Source organism: Homo sapiens, chromosome 15 (genome assembly GCF_000001405.40).
Source record: "Homo sapiens chromosome 15, GRCh38.p14 Primary Assembly".
Lineage (NCBI taxonomy): Eukaryota > Metazoa > Chordata > Mammalia > Primates > Hominidae > Homo > Homo sapiens.
In genome coordinates this window covers 85,631,440-85,651,634 of record NC_000015.10, presented here as the reverse complement: position 1 = coordinate 85,651,634, position 20,195 = coordinate 85,631,440, and the positions used below count along the sequence as shown (strand labels likewise).

The 20,195-nt window shown below is 39.1% G+C and overlaps 1 protein-coding gene and 1 pseudogene across 3 annotated transcripts in view; one reads left to right on the top strand and one right to left on the bottom strand.

Annotated features, from left to right (window-relative positions):
- The window catches only part of AKAP13 (A-kinase anchoring protein 13), a 368,756-nt gene that overhangs the window by 97,724 nt on the left and 250,837 nt on the right, over positions 1-20,195 (bottom strand). For all 3 annotated transcript variants that reach the window (NM_007200.5, NM_006738.6, NM_001270546.1), the window contains 2 exons: positions 12,186-12,261; positions 5,681-5,817 (listed from right to left, as the gene is read on the bottom strand). In NM_007200.5, the coding sequence (NP_009131.2) occupies positions 5,681-5,817; positions 12,186-12,261 (213 nt within the window). The remainder of the gene's footprint in view (positions 1-5,680; positions 5,818-12,185; positions 12,262-20,195) is intronic.
- Positions 7-113, top strand: RNU6-1280P (RNA, U6 small nuclear 1280, pseudogene; annotated as a pseudogene).

Below are 20,195 nucleotides of genomic sequence, written 5' to 3'. Positions count from 1 at the left end.
TGATGGGTGCTCACTTCAGTAGCACATACACTAAAATCGGAACAATGCACAGACGATTAGCATGGCCTCTGTGCAAGGATGATGCACACATTCGTGAAGCAGTCATTAAATTTTTTTTTAAAAAGTCACTGACTGGTACCCTCAAGATTGTACATTTCACTGTATGTAAACTTCACCGAAAAACCCAACCAACCTATAAACAAATACTGAATTCTAAGTGTTCAGAGGTGAAGTATATCGATATTTGTAACTTGCCTCAAAGAATTCAGGCAAACTGGGTGGACAGAAGGATGGACAGATATATAGTTACATAATAGAGCAAATACAATTAAAAGTTAATTGTAGGATCTAAGTAGTGGGTATACGGGTGTTCACTGTACAATTCTCCAAATTTTCTATATGCCTCAATATATTCTTAATAAAATGTTGGGAAAAATGCCTGATTGGCTTTCTTAGCCAGAGTTACATTATACAGGTATGGATACGTAAGTATATACAGAGGTATAAACATTATAAACATAAAATTACAAAACTGCTGCATACTTTATATCTTATTACTATACTTGAAGAAATCATGCTTAATATTGCCAAAATACTAGTCCTTTAATCTCCATTTATTCCCAAACATTTATTATTATTATTTGTAATGATACACAAGGCACTCTACTATGTGCCTTGGAAAATAATGGCTCACATTTTAAACACCTAACACATGCCAACCATTTAATCCATTTATGTTCAATATTTTAAGAAAAGTACCTGATTACAAGCATTACCACTGGTTCACAGTTTTAAGTTTTTAATAATTTCAGCACTTGTGCACAGGCAATTGCAGTTTTTGTTGTTTTTTTTTTTTTTTTTTTTTTTTTTTTTTTTTTTGAGATGGAGTCTCACTCTGTTGCCCAGGCTGGAGTATGGTGGCACAATCTCAGCTCACTGCAACCTCCACCTCCCAGGTTCGAATGATTCTCCTGCCTCAGCCTCCTGAGTAGCTGGGATTACAGGCGCCTGCCACCACGCCCAGCTAATTTTTGTATTTTTAATAGAGATGGGGTTTCACCATGTTGGCCAGGCTGGTCTCGAACTCCTGACCTCCAGTGATCCGCCTGCCTCGGCCTCTCAAAGGCATGAGCCACCACGCCCAGCCGCAATTGTCATTTTCTTAATTAGGATTCTGTAAATACATTTACTTTTATTTATTTTTAAGACAGCATCTCCCTCTGTTGCCCAGGCTGGAGTGCAGTTGCACAATCACAGCTCATTGCAGCCTTGAACTTCAAGGCTCAAGTGATCCTCTCGCCTCTGCCTCCCAAGTAGCTGGGACTACAGACGTGTGCCACCATGCCTGGCTAATTTTTAAATTTTTTACTGGAGACAGGTTCTCACTATGTTGCCCAGGCTGGTGTCAATCTCCTGGACTCAAGCAGTCCTCCCACTTCAGCCTCCCGAAGTGTTGGGATTACAAGTGTGAACCAGCATGCCTGGCTTACATTTATTTTTATCTCAAAAAGGTTTATTGTTTTTTTTTAAGTAATTTTTTGGCTTGGGGATCAAGGACCTGAGAAAAACTACAACACATGAAAGAAGGATGTTCCCTTTAGGTTTTGTATCTTATATAAGTCATTCTGATTTTTTTAAATCAATTGTAGATACATCTGCTAACCTGGGGAAGAAAAATAACATGGAAGGACCTTGATTTACCTCTCTTTGGGAAGACAGGCAGCAACTATTAATATTTCCTGTAGACTTTAATTATCCTTTTGGATAGTAGAGTGGCCTAGATCATGTATATTTTATAATCGTACTTTCTCTCTTAGCTAGTGCCAAAAAGAATCCTAGGATTTCTTTTCACTTTAAAAATAAAATCTAAATTTTATGCTATTGATTAAAGACCTTAGGAACCCACACATATTCATGAGAATAAACGTGAAGCTCATAACACTCACTAAAGAGTCATTTACCAGGAGGCATACTGAATGGAAAGACAGGGTTAAGGTGAAAAGGTCACGACAAACGTTACGGGCTGTTAAAGACCTCTGTGAGGCCAGAGACACAAATGGCTGCAGGAAGTGACCTCATGTACCACTCATGGTTCACAGAAAAAGATGTTGCAATGTCTCGCCTACAGATTATTTTTTAGAGATGGAGAAGAGGGTTAGAACCTGGGAACAAACTGCAAGACATTCTGATATTTTGCATAGCACACTCTGGGGGTGACCACTGAGGAAGACTTTTAAGGAAGCAGCTGATGGCCTATCTGCCAGTGCCACGCTTTTATTTAATCACTGGCTATTAGAGCAGGTTTGGGGAGGTTGAGAGTAAAATAAAAAATGAACAGATTTTAGAGTCAGGCCTAGATGCAAACCTCAAGTTGGCTGCTCACCCACTAAGTAATTCTGGATACATTTCTTTACCTATCAGTGCCTCTATTTCCTCAAGAGCATAAAACCACCCACTTGTCAGGGTTGCTGGGCAGACAAATTGAGATCAAATATTTTAAAAATTTAGTTCAGTACCTACTGTACAGTAAGTATCCTGTCAATATTAGTCTCTCTCCTTTTTGTAAGTCAGCCCTTGGTTTTATTAATGCTAGAGCAAACATTTATTGCAAAGCCTCTCCTGGTCACAGGCTACTTTGGTACAGCAAAAACACTAAGAGAAAAATCCTCCCCATCTCTTCTCAGGCCATGCAGACATTCTCAAGCATGCATGAGGAGGTGAAAGTGAAGCTACCATTTCTGGTTTTCCCTAAGCAGTCTAGTATAAAATGTAGGTGTTATTTATTTATTTATTTTTGAGACAGGGTCTTGCTCTGTCGCCCAGGCTGGAGTGCAGTGGTGCCATCACGGCTCACTGCAGCGTTAACCTCCTACACTTAAGTGATCTTCCCACCTCAGCCTCCTGAATAGCTGGGACCACAGGTGTGCACCACCATGTCTGGCTAATTTTGGTATTTTTTGTAGAGACAAGGTCCCATTATATTGGCCCAGGCTGATCTCAAACTCCTTGACTCAAGTGATCCTCCTGCCTTAGCCTCCCAAAATGCTAAGATCCACCACGCCTGGCCTCCTTCAACTTTTAAAAATTATATGTCTAATATTCTTGAAAAAAAAAATCTTCCAAATCTAGCACAGGCCATTTATATGAGCAATTTTGTAAATGGTTCTGGGAAAATAAGACGGCGAAATATAGAAAATTCTAATTCTCCTTAGCTAAGAAAACCATTCAATTAAGTGACCAGAAGTAACTCTGAGTCTGCAGAGATGGTAACATCCAGGCACAAGCTGTCATGCACCTAGGAGGTTGCAAGGAAGTATTTCTTAACAAAGACACTTCCATTTTTAAAAAACTTTTTACGTTAAAATTTTCAAACATATATAAATGTTTAACAAATCTCTGTATATCCATGACCTAGTTTCAATGATTATCAATGATCCCATTTTAAAGCTGGAACTTAGAGATACTATCTAATCTGTTTATCTCAGTATGTTTTTAGCGACACATATCTTCAGAATGGTATTCCCCTTGCGGGGAACAGAATTCCTTACAATTAAAACCTCGAAAGTCGCAGTGGAAATTACCTAAATTCTGATATTATTAAAAAAAAAATAAAATAACATAAAACTATTGATTTCTCTTTTCCTAAGTAAAGAGAAAGGCAGATCTTCTAAATGTGGAGTTTTTTTTGTTTTGTTTTTTGTTTTTTTGAGATGGAGTCTCGCTCTGTCGCCCAGGCTGGAGTGCAGTGGCACAATCTCGGCTCACTGCAAGCTCCGCCTCCCGGGTTCACGCCATTCTCCTGCCTCAGCCTCCCGAGTAGCTGGGACTACAGGTGCCCGCCACCACTATTTTTAGTAGAGATGGGGTTTCACCGTGTTAGCCAGGATGGTCTCGATCTCCTGACCTCATGATCAGCCCGCCTCAGCCTCCCAAAGTACTGGGATTACAGGCGTGAGCCATTGCGCCCGGTCCTAAATGTGGAGTTTTTACTTCATAGAATTTTTTGTCAAGTCACTATGAGTGACAATGATAGAAATCCTTAAGTTTGCATCATATTAAATAAGTCTTTCCAAAGACCTTGGGAAGACAATGAGTTCAAAAAAAAAAAAGTCAGGGAAGGCCAAAAATGAAAGGAAGGCACACAGGGTACATTCACAGAGGCACTGATATGCTCCTGATTCCCAAATCTTTAGGTCTCTTTTCTTGTAACTTCTATTTTATTTTATTTTTACTTTTGAGATGGAGTTTCACTCCTGTTGCCCAGGCTGCAGTGCAGTGGTGTGATCTCAGCTCACTTCAGCCTTCACCTCCTGGGTTCAAGCAATTCTCCTGCTTCAGCCTCCAGAGTAGCTGAGGTTACAGGCACGCGCCACCATGCCCAGCTAATTTTTTTGTATTTTTAGTAGAGACGGGTTTTCACCATTTCCAGGCTGGTCTCGAACTCCTGACCTCAAGTGATCTACCCGCCTTGGCCTCCCAAAGTGCTGGGATTACATGCATGAGCCACCACACCCGGCCTATTCTTGTAACTTCTACACAGCATCATTCACCATCTTGGACAACCTAATCACCCACTAACACAACTGCTCTCACCACTTCTCCGAGCTCATTATAAAACTAGAAGGAACCGTGTTGGTAGATGCAACAGTGTTTCCGCCTCTTCACCTCCTTACCATTAAGAAAACCACTTGTGGCATATAATTGAGTAGCATTTGCCATCTCTGCTGTGGGGAAAGCCCTCTATTCTTCTCAGGTGAGCAAAACAGAACTTGCTGCCACTAGAAACAAATATAAGCAAAAGAAAGCAAACTACCCCCATTCCCCACCTCCCTTAGGCAGCCTCCAATTATATGCAAATGTGAGCTGATTCATGTGGAAGGGCTCTATTGCAGAGATCTAGAAAGTTCCAATTAGGCAGGCTAGATGAGGATGAGTGATATGACCACACTCAGCAGGAAGCTTCAGGCCTAAACACATTAACCAGAAATGACTCTACAGCTGGTTTATAAATATGACATCATATAGTCTGAGCTGCGGTCCTTGCTGCCCACTGAGAAGTGTTCACTGTCATCTGACTTAATTAATTCTAAAGGAACTTCCATTTCTTCTGACTCCCAAGTGAGCTTCAAAATCTGTATTTAACTGGCCACAATTTCACATTAAATAACTTTGGCCAATGCTTTTTTCTTTCCCTTTTTTTTGTTTTTGGAGACAGAGTCTCGCTCTGCCACCCAGGCTAGAGTTTAGTGGCGCGAACTTGACTCACTGCAACCTCCACCTCCTGGGTTCAAGTGAGCACGTCCAGCTAATTTTTATATTTTTAGTAGAGATGGGGTTTCACCATGTTGGCCAGGCTGGTCTCGAACTCCTGACCTCAAGGGGTCCGCCCACCTCAGCCTCCCAAAGTGTTGGGATTACAGGCGTGAGCCACCATGCCCAGCCCAGTGCCTTTTTCTAAACCCTGGTAATCTGGCGCTTCCTTCTCCAAAGAACATTTACATGCCTCTCAGAGTGAGTGAGGCCCTACAAGGCTAGCTGGATCACAACTTACTAGCAGGAGTTACATATTTAGGGAAACAGGAGAGCACAAGAGGGGGAAAAAGTTGGAAAAGAGTTTGGGAAGCCCAAATAGGAACACAAAAGCCGTGTGACAAAAATGAAAGGAAGGTCCACACAGTACCTTTGGGAAGATGATGCTGTCCATGTCATCACTGGGTGAGTGAAAGAGGTCAGAATCACTCCCAGATTCTCTTTTAAGTACACCTTGTTTTGAGGTACACTCTCTGCCCAGTCCAACATCCAGGAAGTTCTCACATTCTGAAAAAGAGAATTTATTCACCAATATTGAAAAAAAAAAAACAAAAAAACCAAAAAACAAAAAGAACCACTTCCTTTTCACCCCAGCAACCAGTCTTTTAAATCTCTCTCTCACTCTTTTCTCTTCCTTCCCTCCTTATTTCTTTTTTTCAAAATTAAGAAGCTATAAAAGGACACAGTCAAATTAGTAGCTCTGCTACTCCAATTCTAGGTTGAAATAGCTCCTACAGGACAATCATGCATCTGCCACGTTTATATTAGGTACAGAAAGATAAAAGGATGATTTAGAAGCATATTCTACTTCTATTTAGATACCTGAATGGTAATGCTTTCCTCATGGTAGTGAGGGCATTTTTTTTCTTTTGTCTTCAAAATCCAAAGTCTTTTACTAGCAACTATGTGATGGGGTTTGTTTTAAACTTATAGGTTCTACTGAGTAATAACAGAAATATAATTTAACTTTTCTTACCATAAATAGCTCTTAAATTGGGGGCATAATATGCCAAAGTGGAAAAATTTATCATTTAGAATGTTTTCGGTTCAATAACTAGAACAGGGACCCTGGCAAGCTAGAGGGAGGGGTCTGTGACAGAAATACTACCTTTGTACATTGAGGAAGCCTAAAAACTTAGTAGCTTGAAATAAGCAAGGTATTCTCTCTTATTAACTTTGCTTTTCTGTTTTGTGTTGTTTATTTTGAGACAAGTTCTCGTTCTGTTGCTCAGGCTGTACTACGGTGACATGATCTCAGCTCACTTCAACCTCCACCTCCTGGGCTCAAGCAATCCTCACACCTTAGCCTCCCAAGTAGCTGAGAATGCAGGCACACGCCACCAAGTCCAGTTTATTTTTTGTAAAGATGGGGTTTTGGCATGTTGCCCAGGCTATTAACTTTGTAAACAAAAGTGACATGTGACTGGGTACCAACACGGTTAAAGAGATTTGTGGATGGTGAAACCAAGAACCCAAGTCCATTACTGAGTGGATATGAGCTTCCTTCAATAAGTTTTTGCAACTTCCGCCTCCTGGGTTCAAGCGATTCTCCTGCTTCAGCCTCTTGAGTAGCTGGGACTACAGGCACGTGCCACCATGCCTGGCTAATTTTTTTTTTTTTTTTTTTTTTTGTATTTTTAGTAGAGATGAGGTTTCACCGTGTTAGCCAGGATGATCTCCATCTCCTGACCATGTGATCCACCTGCCTCAGCCTCCCAAAGTGCTGGGATTACAGGTGTGAGCCACTGGGCCTGGCCCTAAGAAGTTTTAAGGATAAAAGTCATGGCCGGGCATGGTGGCTCAAGCCTGTAATCCCAGCACTTTGGGAGGCTGAGGCAGGCGGATCACCTGCGGCCAGAGTTCGAGAACAGCCTGGTCAACATGGTGAAACCCCGTCTCTACTAAAAATACAAAAAATTAGCCAGGCATGGTGGCAGGTGCCTGTAATCCCAGCTACTTGGGAGGCTGAGGCAGAAGAATCGCTTGAACCCGGGAAGCGGAGACTGCAGTGAGCCCAGTGAGCCAAGATCACGCCATTGCACTCCAGCCTAGGTGACAGAGAGCAACTTCATTTCCAAAAAAAAAAAAAAAGAAGATAAAAGTCATGCATCTCTGTTTTTGTAAGCAAGTTAATGTGTTATTTGGACAACCAGGTAGGCATGCTTTATCAAATTTGTAGGTGACACTAAATGATGAGGGACAGGGCAAGAAACCTGGCTATCTAGGAGTTAAAGAGAACTCTACTTGGAGGTTTTGGGGGAAGCAAATTCAAAAGGAACTGACAGTACAAGGTGATGACAAAACCAAAGAAACACTAATAGTTTTAGTCTCTATTAGTAAATAGTACACGGGCATCCAAAACGGGGACAGTCCTGTCGCTATGTGCCATCCAGACCACACCCTCGGGACTGTACTTGTTCCTAAATAACATCTCAAGTAGAACACTGATAAACAAAAATGTGTACGTAGTAATGGGGTCACGACAGTCAAACCGTCTGAGATACATACAGCTTGCCGAGGAGCTTGAAGAAAATGTGCCTAAAGACTGTCACAGATTCCCTCTGTACTGTTCCAGGGGCAAAGACCAGTGAGTGTGAGCTACAGAGCTTCACTAAAACGGGGCTTCTTAGCAATAGGTTGGGTGGCCTATAAAGTAATGACTATCACTTTACCAGAAGGGTTTTGGAACACAGAATGACTATGTCAAGATATTACAGAAAAGGTATCTGCACAGAGAGGGAAGTGAGGGTTGGACTACATAACTTCCAACGTCTCCTTTGATTATTAGATTTTATGCCTGGATGGTAATTATGTTGTCTCTGTGTGTTGAAAGTGGGAAGAAATAGTTCTTCTAATTAACAGTTAAGTAATTAGTGATAATCACTGAATTATTTGCGCTGGTAGCTTAGAGCAAGGGTCAAGGCTGCATTGCATTGCATTGGTATAGGTCATAAATCCCCTGCCAATAAAATTACTTTTTCTACTAGTTAAGCATCTGGCTAAATACTGGGGAGTAACCAAATAAAAAGAAATGTTTAGTGTTGGGGGGGAAGCAGTTTACTGTCTTGTAGCAGAAATGAACATATTAGAAGACAATTTCAACAAAGAATTACAAAAAAAAAAAATGCCATAGGAAGTGAGAGAGGGCTCATGGATGAATCTGAAAATCTTTCATTTAAAAAAAAAATCACCTTAGTCTGTTTCAGTCTTGGTTCAAACTATTTTGGAGTGTGTTAGTTCAATGGGAACAGCCCTGCCTTTAACAGACTGGAAACTATGGGTATTCTGGAGGTTTTTTTTTTTTCACGTTTCCTAGAGTATGTAGTAACCTAGGAGGAGTTGGTGGGTGTGATCTATTCCTTCTCCTTTCCCTGCTTGAAAAAATAAAAAAATGCCTTTCCATGGTTGAGGGAAAAATATGGGGGCTGGCCAAGAAAAGAAAGGGCTGTCACAGCAACTACGCTGAGCTGCTCGCTGTCCAGCTGGCCCTCTAACAGACCACGTCCAAATTCCAGACTGGAAAACAAACTAGCTCACGATATTCGAATGGAAAATTCATGGGGAAGATCCAGATTCAGCCCTGGGAGGAATACCTCACCCAGAAAATAAATTCAAGCCAGCACCACAAGGGATAACAAACCAAGTTTGGGACGAGAGTCTGCTCTGTGAGATAAAGCTGACTGTTGAGGAGGGAAAGAGGGAAAAGTACAGAAAGAAGGGCTAAGATGGAGAGAGAGGGACCGTAAACCATTATAACCCCCTAACGCCATGGGGCGGGGGGAGGTGGGGGGAATCCCTAAAGGCAGAGCTAATCCACACCCTGTGTCACATGAATTGGTAAGTTTTCAAAATTAATAAAATCTTTTCTTTCTTCCTATTTGTCCCCTTCCTACTGAATAAAGGGGAGCGGCATATCTAAGTGTAAACAAGAGTAAAGAGCTCTGGTTTTTTAGTTAGACTGATCAGGCTTAAATCTAGGTCTGACTACTTAATAGAAGAAAAATTCCAGGCAAGAAGTAATTTCACCCCTCTCAGTTGCCATTTCCATAACAGTGACAAGAGATGATTAGTACTTCCCTAAAGGAGTCATAGTGACAGGAATAATTTATACATACAGTAACCAGAACTCTGGTTTCCAGCACATAGCAGGTGTGTGATATATGTGTCTAATGAAGTTAAGGCTTCATTAACCTTTAATGTATGATTCAGTAAGTATCCAGATGACAGTACCTTAAAGGTGGACACAGGTAGGGCCAGTCCCATTTTATGACCCATATGTAAATCTGTCTGTAATTTTTGTGTACTGAGCTATTAGCTTTTCAGAAGCTAACATAATACAAACTTTTTAAAAGGTGTTATCTAGTCATTTAGGTTTAAAACAACATATATGCCAACAAACTGTTGTTGGGGAAGGGCAGGAAAACACACTGCTGAAATCCGGTGGGCTCTGTTATGTCACACTAATCATAATTCTATCTTGTAATTTATCCATTATTGAAGAGTATACAAAGTGATTTTAAAAGACAGTATCTTGGCCAGGCACGGTGGCTCATGCCTGTAATCCCTTTGTAAGCACTTTGGAAGGATGAGGGGGATGGATCACAAGGTCAGGAGATTGAGACCATCCTGGCTAATATGGTGAAACCCCATCTCTACTGAAAATACAAAAAAATTAGCCGGGTGTGGTGGCAGGCACCTGTAGTCCCAGCTACTCAGAAGGCTGAGGCAGGAGAATGGTGTGAACCTGGGAGGCGGAGCTTGCAGTGAGCCGAGATTGTGCCACTGCATTCCAGCCTGGGCGACAGAGCGAGACTCCGTTATTTATTTATTTATTTATTTATTTATTTATTTATTTATTTATTTATTTATTTATTTATTTGAGATGGAGTCTTGCTCCGTCGCCCAGGCTGGAGTGCAGTGGCATGATCTTGGCTCACTGCAACCTCCGCCTCCCAGGTTCAAGTGATTCTTCTGCCTCAGTCTCCCGAGTATCTGGGACTACAGAGGCGTGCCACCACACCCGGCTAATTTTTGTATTTTTAGTAGAGATGGGAGTTTCACCATACTGGCCAGGCTGGTCTTGAACTCCTGATCTCGTGATCTGCCCGCCTCGGCCTCCCCAAGTGTTGGGATTACAGGCGTGAGCCACCTCGCCCGGCCAAAAGACAATATCTTATTTGGTCTAATGCTATTGCTCTCTTGAGGAAGTGTGTATAAAGTAAAATACAGAAACCTGCAAAACAAAGTACCTGGGATTCACAAAAACACTATGCCTAAAATCAAAATCTCAGGTCTGAAGCTCAGTAGCATAATTCTGATCTGCAATTCTGTTAAATCGAGATTTTACAATAATTACTCTAAAAAGACTAAATTGCTTATGCTTGGGGTTAGGGTGTACAGTAGGTCTACAGAATTCAAAATTGTGTCCTGGGGAAAACATCCAGGGGTTCAAAAATTATTTCTCTAAATATAGAAATTAAACTATGATGTGTGGAGATCTTTCCTTCCTATGAATATTCAAACTGTGACCAACCTCATTTAACCTTTACTTGGCAGAAAGTCTCACTCTTGGGTGGTTTTAATTACACTTTTAGAAAAAGCCCCAAACAGTTTAAGGACCCAAAACACAGTAGTAAGTGGTACACGTTTAAGTAGAAGGTTCTAGGAGGCTACATGGGGGAAGTGTCAGCTAAATCTGTGAACAGGGCCAATCTTGTAAAACTTGGACCCTGAACACAACTATAGCATAATATCCTTAACTACTCTCAAAAAATGAGACAAAAATAGAGAAAAACACTTCTCATATTTGTTTTCAATATTTCCTTTGTAGTAAAGTTAGAGAGTTGACAATCAGTAGGAAACTGCTCTGGAGTTAGAGGATTCAAAACCATTTGTTTTTAAATTTAATACTACTGGAGGGTATCTACATGTAAACTATTTCTAAAAAGACCTGCAAATGAAGACTAGGTAATTTTTAAAGCTGGGCAGTAAAAATTGGGAAGGCAAACAGAGGCTTGCTGGGTAAAACAGACTAAAAAAACTCAGAATGCAAATTACTAGTATTCACTTAGCAGTCGTAGAACAGGCACAGGGATTACTCATCATGTCATCTGTACTACACCCTCAAAATGAGACAGGCTACTAACACTTTACAGATGGGAGGGAGACAACGGAGCACACAGACATTAGGGAACATACTTTACATCACACAGAGTTAGAGGCTGGACCTGGTTTAAAAGTTGGGAATCCTAACTAATCACAAGCTATGTGCTGTGTCATTAACAAGCAAGGTCTTAAGAGCATCGTACCCTCAAGTGTTGTTAGGAATAACTCAAAGGTACTTAAGGAAAGACTTAATTCCTGACCATGTGTCCAAAGTGTAATGGTTCTCAACCTTGGGTACACAGCAGGGTAATCAAAGGAGCTTATAAAGATTTTGATATCTAGGCCACACCCCACCCAATTAAATCAGAATATCTGGAGGTAGGACCCAGGCATCAGTATATTTTTAAAGCTTGTTCAGCCAGATAATTCCAATGTGCATTCAAAATTGAGAACCTCAGGTTTGGTTAACAGTATATTTATACTTTTACCAGATTAAAAATCCTATGTCATATGTATATGCACAGCACAGATGCCTTCACAAATGAATGAATCATAAAGCCACCTATGATGTCTGTTGCTACCAAAACAAAATTCGGTAATTACATGTGTTCATCTTCAACTGTAAGACAAAATGCCTACAAACCCAGATCACATACATCCCTTCCTCTGATTTACTGTATAACATGCTAAGGAAGGGCAGATCTCCAAATAAAACGATCTGCCAGAGTGGGGCTGCAGCTCCAGAAAATGAATGGATAATCTCAGCTTACCTGGGCTCTGCTTGGAAGCCAGAAGAGATGCTGCATCAGGGCATGGCTCTATTGTACACCAGTTTTCTCGGTTTATCTGAAAGAAAAAGAAAACACAGAGTTTCAGACATTGAAGTAATGTGAGATAATTTTACAGGTGCCAAAATTATGTCAACTGACCAACATTCCTATCTTTTTCTTTAATACAGGGTGAGCAAACTTATGTCAAGGGAAAAAAATTTTTTTTTCACAATATTACCACAGCAATCTATACTCAAGGATCTTTAGAGGTTGTCAATAAAAATTAGGCATACAAAAGCAATAAGAAAAGATACACGAAGATGAAGGCCATAGTGTAGGCCAAGGGTAAAATTAAAAAAGTTAACAAATGAAATTGACTAAATATTAAAATACATATTTGGTGTGGCTCATGCCAGTAATCCCAACACTTTGGGAGGCTGAGGTGGGAGGACTGCTTGAGGCCAGGAGTTCAAGACAAGTCTGGCAAATGTGGCAAAACCCCATCTCTACTAAAATACAAAATTTACCCAGGCATGGTGGTGGTGCACGCCTGTAATCCCAGCTACTCAGGAGGCTGAGGCACAAGAATTGCTTAAACCCGGGAGGCAGATGTTGCAGTGAGCAGAGATCGCGCCACTGCACTCCAGCCTGGGCGGAGCAAGACGCCATCTCAAAAAAAAAAAACAGGCTCAGAGGGGTTGCTGAAGTAATAAACAGCAGGACTGGTGCTGGAATGCCAAGTCTGTGTTATTCTAAAAAGCAAATACTTCCCCCTTCCCCACAAATTAAAAAAAATTTAAATATTGCCTTTACACCTCCCAACCCTCTTAATATTATAATTCTCTTTGATTGAATTTTAAATTTTTAAAATTACCACTGAAGATTTCAATACTCCTCTCTTAATTGATAAACACAAACAAAATCAGCAAGATAGAGAAAACTTGAAAAACCTCAACCAATCTGAGCTAACACAATATAGAACACTCCACCCAATAATAGCATAAGAAACATTCTCAAGTGCACTTGGAATGTTCATATTCTATCACATAAAACAAACCTCAAATAAAACAAATGTTCATATTGTATCACATAAAACAAACCTCAAATAAAACAAACATATACTGTAGCACAAAACAAGTCTTAAATATAAGAGAATTAAAATAATAAAAAGTATGCTCTGTGATCACAACAGTATTAAATCAGAAATCCAAAACAAAAGATACTGGGGAAAAACTCAAATATTTGAAAAAAATTTTAAAAACTTCTAAATAGGCTGGGCGTGGCACGCCTGTAATCCCAGCACTTTAGGAGGCTGAGGCGGGCGGATCACAAGGTCAGGAGATGGAGACCATCCTGGCTAACACGGTGAAATCCTGTCTCTACTAAAAAAAAAATACAAAAAAATTAGCCAGGCATGGTGGCAGGCGCCTGCAGTCGCAGCTACTCAGGGTCAGGAGGCTGAGGCAGAACGGCATGAACCCGGGAGGCAAAGCTTGCAGTGAGTGAAGATCGCGCCACTGCACTCCAGCCTGGGTGACAGAGATTAAAAAAAAAAAAAAAAAAAACTTCTAAATAACCCAGGGAAAGTAGAAATATTAAGAAAAAGAAGAAAATATTTTAAATTGAATAAAAATTAAAACACCACATATAAAAATGTGTGGATATAACTAAAGCAGTGCTAACAGCAATATTTGTAACATTACATGCCTATATTAGAACATAAGGTTTCAAATCAGTGATCTAAACTTCTACCTTATGAAACTAGAAAAAGAGGAGGAAATTAACCCAAAGCAAGCAGGATAAAGAAAATAAAGAACAAAAATCAATAAAATAGAATACAGAAGAACAATAAAATCAATGAAACCAAAAGCTGGTTCCTTAAAAGGGTCAATAATATCAATACAACTCTGGCGAGGCTAATCAAAAAAGAAAAGCGACAAATGACAGGAATCAGGAATTACAGAGTGACACCATTACAGATCCTATAGATATTGAAAAAATAAAGAAATATTACGAACATTACTGCAATAAATTCATCAAGTTGGATGAAATAGCATTCCATGACACTATGCAAACTACCAAAATTCACTCAAGAAAACATAGATAATCTAAATAGCCTTATTCTATTAAAGCAATTGAGTCCATAGTTTAAAACTTTATTACAAGGAAAACTTCAGGCCTAGATGACTTCAGTGGTGAATGCTACCAAACATTTAAGAAAGAAATGTCAACTCTACACAAGCTCTTACAGAAAACAGAAGAAAAGTATTTACAATGCAGCTCATTTTATGAGCCTAGCATTACTCTGAAATCAAAACCAGACAGATATAAGAAAACTATAGATCAATATTCCTCAGGAATACAGATGCAAAAAACCTTAACAAAATTTTAGGTTAATGGAATCCAGCAATATATATCATGAGCAAATGGGTCCATCCCAGGAATTTAAGGTTGGTTTAGCACTTGAAAAACCAGTTTATTAAAAGACCAAAAAACTCACGAACTAATGATCATCATTAGATGAAAAGAATTTGGGGCCGGGAGCGGCGGCTCATGCCTGTAATCCCAGCACTTTGGGAAGCCAAGGCAGGCAGATCACTTCAGGTCAGGAGTTCAAGATCAGCCTGGCCAACATGGTGAAACCACATCTCTACTGAAAATACAAAAATCAGCCAGGTGTGGTGGTGGGTCTCTGTAATCCCAGCTACTAGGGAGCCTGAGGCATGAGAATCACTTGAACCCAGGAGGCAGAGGTTGCAGCGAGCCGTGATTGTGCCACTGAACACCAGCCTGGACAACAAAGCAAGAATCTGCCTCAAAGGAAAAAAAAAAAATCAGCAAAATTCAACATCTATTCATGATAAAAACTCTCAGAACACTAGGAACAGAAAGGAAATTACTCAACCTGACAAAGGCATCTATAAAAAACCTACGGTTAACATTATATTTATTGGTGAAAGACTAAATGCTTTCATTCTGAGATCAGTAACCAAAGATGTCCATTCTCATCACTTTTATTCAACAATATTCTGGAGGTCCTATCCAGTGCAGTAAAGCAGAAAAAGAAAGAAAACGCATACCATTGGAAAGGAAGAAGTAAAACTTGGTTTATTCACAAATGGCGTGACTGCCTATGTAGAAAATCCTAAGGAATCTATAAAAATACTGGAATAAATAATGTATTAATAAAAGCAAGGTTGCCAGACACAAAGTCAACATACTAGCAATGAGCAATTAGAAATTGAAATTAAAAGTAAAAGCAATACCATTTACAAAAGCCTCAATAAATATAAAATAATTAGGGATAATTTTAAGAAAATATGAGTAAGACTCATACTCTGAAACCTTTATAAAACATTGTTGAGAAAAATTAATGCAGACTTAAATAAATACAGAGATTCCATGAGATCAGAAGACTCAATACAGTTGTTAATTGTCCTCAAATTGATCACTACATGATTTCAAGACATACTATAAAAGCTGCACTAACCAAACCGGGGTGATATTAAACAGCAGACATATAGATCAATGGCAGAGAAGAGAGAATCCACAAACAGACCTTCACAGATATGGCCCATTGATTCCTGACAAAGATGCCAAGATATTTTAATGAGGAACAAATAGTCTTATGAACAAATGATGCTATAACGACTGGATACTAATATGTAAACAAATACAACTCCCCAAGATCTAAAATCTTACCCCAAACCTTACCACCTATAAAAATGAACTCAGAATACTTTATATATCTAAATGTTCAACCTAAAACTATAAAACTCCTAAAGAAGACAGAGGGAAACACTTTTATGGGAACTTCGGTTACACAAAGATTTCTTAAATAGTACATTTTTTAAAACATGAAAAAAAAGGATAAATCTATGTCAACCTTAAAAACTTTTACTCCTCAAAAGCCACTGTTAGGAAAACAAAAAGGTAAACTAAAAACTGAAGGAAAATATTTATAAAACAATTATCTGCTAAGAACTCCTACCCGGAATATTTAAAAATAAAAGAAACTCTTACAATGCAGTAACAAAGCAACATGATTTTTTAAATGGGTAAAAGATTTGAATAAACATTTTATTTAAAAAGATATACGAAAGGCAGATAAGCAAAAAAAAGATACCCAACATCATTAATCCACAGGAAAATGTAAATTAAAATCACAAGGACATAGCAGCAGACATCCATTACAAGAGTCAAAATTTGAGACTGATAATACCAAATGTTGGCAAAGATGTGGAGCAACTAGAACACAGTACTGTTGCTGAAAGAAAGCAAAATAGTACAGCCATTTTGGGAAAGCAGTTTAGCAGTTTTTCATAATGTCAAACATATACTTACATACAACATAGCATTCCATTCATTTACCGAAGAAGAATCAAAACCTACTGTCACACAAAGACTTGCACTGGAATTTTTAAAGCGCTTTAATTCATGAGAGCTCCAAACTAGAAACAGTCCAGATTGCCATCAAATGGTAAATGGATAAGCAAATTATAATATATCCATACAATGTTATAGATTCATAGAAAGAAGAAATGAACTGCTGATACAAACAACATGGATGAATCTCAAGAGTATTACGGTAAGTTAAAAAAAAAAAAAAGCCAGACTCAAAAGACTATGTATTGTATGGTTCTATCCATGCAATATCTAGAAAAGGCAAGCCTACAGTAGCAAGAAAACATTAGTGATCAGCAGAGAATGAAGGAGAAGACTGACTACAGGGAGACAGAACAGAACTTCTGAGCTGACAGAAGTGTTCCTATTATGATGCGGTAGTGATTACACAATTTAAATATTTGTCAAGGCTCACCAAACTATAAACTTATATTGGTTAATTTTGTTGTATGGAAATTTATACCAGAATAAAGCTGAAAACAAATACATTCTCAAAAACAGAAGTATAAAATATAAAATAAATTTTAGTCTTCACAATTCCCACACACCTTAACATTATAACCCTTTAATCATTAAAACTGACATACTTAGATGTAATTCTAAATAATATGAGCAGAAATATCTAAACAAACTACTAAGTAGTTGTGAATATTTGTATGCTCAAAGACAGAAGCCTTGATTTTATTCAATAACCTCTAAAATATATTTCTGATCACTTTAGTGAGAATCTTAAACTCTTCTGCTGACAAAGATCAACAGTTTTACTGTATATGCTAAGTGGCATAAGGCAGAAAGCTAGAGACATTTTGTCAAATTATAACTGACAATAAAATGAATGAAAGGAATTAAACTGCTTGCAAATAACCAGGCAAACTAGAACCACATGAAACAAAACACTTTATCATTTGCTCTGTTCAGCTATTTTACTATTACAGAGAGCAAAAACAGCAAGAATCAGGGGCCATCAAGGTTTCAGTTCCTGGTGTGTTACAAAATGATGCCAAAAATTTAAAAGTAATCCTGAATGGAACTGAATCTTCAGCAGGTGCCCTGGGATTACACATATTTAAAAATATCCTTTCTGAAAGGTACTTTAAGGTATACACAATAAGGAAGTAACCACAAATTTTGTAACTTTACCAACACCCTATCCACATCTTTCAAAGAATTGAAACAACACATTTTCCTTTTTAAAAAAAAAAGGCCGGGTGCAGTGGCTCATACCTGTAATCCCAGCACTTTGGGAGGCCGAGGTGGGCAGATCACGAGGTCAGGAGATCGAGACCATCCTGGCTAACACAGTGAAACCCCGTCTCTACTAAAAATACAAAAACATTAGCCAGGCGTGGTGGCGGGCGCCTGTAGTCCCAGCTACTCGGGAGGCTGAGGCAGGAGAATGGCGTGAACCCGGGAGGCTCAGCTTGCAGTAAGCCGAGATTGTGCCACTGCACTCCAGCCTGGGTGACAAAGAGAGACTCCGTCTCAAAAAAAAAAAAAAAAAAAAAAAAAAGAAAAAAAAAGTCATTCAGAGAATTTTCTCTTAATTTCAAATGGCATTTCATTTGCAATGAGCCAAATTTTACTTACTGTGAAATAAGATTCTCTGCTAATAGAACCACTGTACTGCAATACAAAACTACACTTTTAAGCTGGAAGGGAAAAAATTACTCCCCCCCCGCCCCTATTATTCCTGTAATAAGAAGAGGCTGCATGAATACAGCAACAAGTTTAGTTTACAGAAATAAAAGAGCTCAGATGATTCTTTAGTGATAAGTAAAGAATGTGGAAATGAACTACTACGAATTACCATATTACTGTCTCTTACCTTGACCTTCAACAAGGGGCCAACAGTTTAGAAAACCCTATTAAAATTCTATTTCTGCCGGGCGCGGTGGCACATGCCTGTAATCCCAGCACTTTGGGAGGCCGAGGCAGGCGGATCACAAGGTTAGGAGTTCGAGATCATCCTGGCCAACATAGTGAAACCCTGTCTCTACTGAAAAAATACAAAAATTATCTGGGCGTGGTGGCACATGCCTGTAGTCCCAGCTACTTGGGAGGCTGAGACAGGAGAATCGCTTGAACCATGGAGTCAGAGGTTGCAGTGAGCCAAGATCACGCCACAGCACTCCAGCCTAGCGACAGAGCAAGATTCCGCCTCAAAAAAAAAAAAATTTTATTTCTTAGAATACTTTTCATTACCTTCTCAATACCACATGTCATTCCACAGCCAATGAGTAAAGTGAACATTATTTGCCTTGAATATGCAAGCAACTAAGACTCTCTATACTTTTCCTGTCATTTTAGGTACATGTGTTACATAAAGTGAGTTTCATATTTTACAAAATTATATACAATAAACACATACTACTAGAACAAAATTAAAGTTACATATCTTTAAGTAAATATGCTAATTTCTGAGTAACAGTGATGAGAACATAATAACAGTGATGAGAACATAATCATGTTGGAAAACAATTCTCCATGTCCCTCTTGCATTTCTGCAGGTTTTATCAGCAAAAGCCCTGATGGTCCTTTTATTCTAGACTATCTTTTCAAGACTGTTTGTATATCAAACACCCTTAGAAGATAAAAATACTGTTTCCTTCCGAAGCAAAGGGCAGGTTTGTTTCTGTCCAGTATTATAAAGATAATGTCTCAGTCAAGGGCAAAGGTCACACAGGCTTACTGTCCACTGTATAAAAATTCAGATTTCTTCAGGTTTAGATTTCTCAGCTGTGACACAGCATCAACCTGGACCCCTTCGTGTTGCCTGCATAGGGCTTAGGAAGCAAGGAGAACCAACGAGAAGGTGATGCTGATGCTGCTGGCTATGCAATGAGTAATACATTTACCTGTCTCTGACCCTAGAATGCCATGACTTCAGCCAGCACCCATGAAACTGTGTCAGGATGTAAGTTAACTTGCCAGCTTGCAAGTACGGAACAATTTCCGATCCACCACATTAACAATTAGTATATATTATATAGTATTAAAAATTTTACACACAGTGGCAGCCAAAAATCTCTTGACATGTTACACTTCTGTGGTGCAATCTCCTAATCTATTTTCAATTGGGTGGATATGTCTGAACGACCACAAAGAGACAACTTATATTCCTTTTAACTTTCCTGTAGTTTCCCAAATTTTCTTCAATGGTTATATATTTCTTTTATTTTTAAAAAATTTATCTTGATAAACTTATTTTGTAACAACTTCAGGCTGATACAAAAAATAGTATACATAAAAAGTAGAAATAACTTTAGTTTGCAAAGACAGCACAGAAAGTTCCCGTTTATCCCCACTCCCTTCCTCACTGGTTTCTCCAACGTTAACATCTTACATAACCATAACACAGTTGTCAATACTAAGAAACCAACACTGGTACATTACTATTAAGTAAACTCCGGACTTTATTTGGATTTCACTTGTTTTCCCATTAGTGTTCTCTTTCTGTTCCAGGATCCCATCCAAATCACCACATTGCATTTAGTGTGTGTGTGTGTGTGTGTGTGTGTGTGTGTGTGTGTGTGTGTGTGTGTGAGAGAGAGAGAGAGAGAGAAAGTGTGTGTGTGTTATTTTGCATTTTAACATCCTTATTGAGAT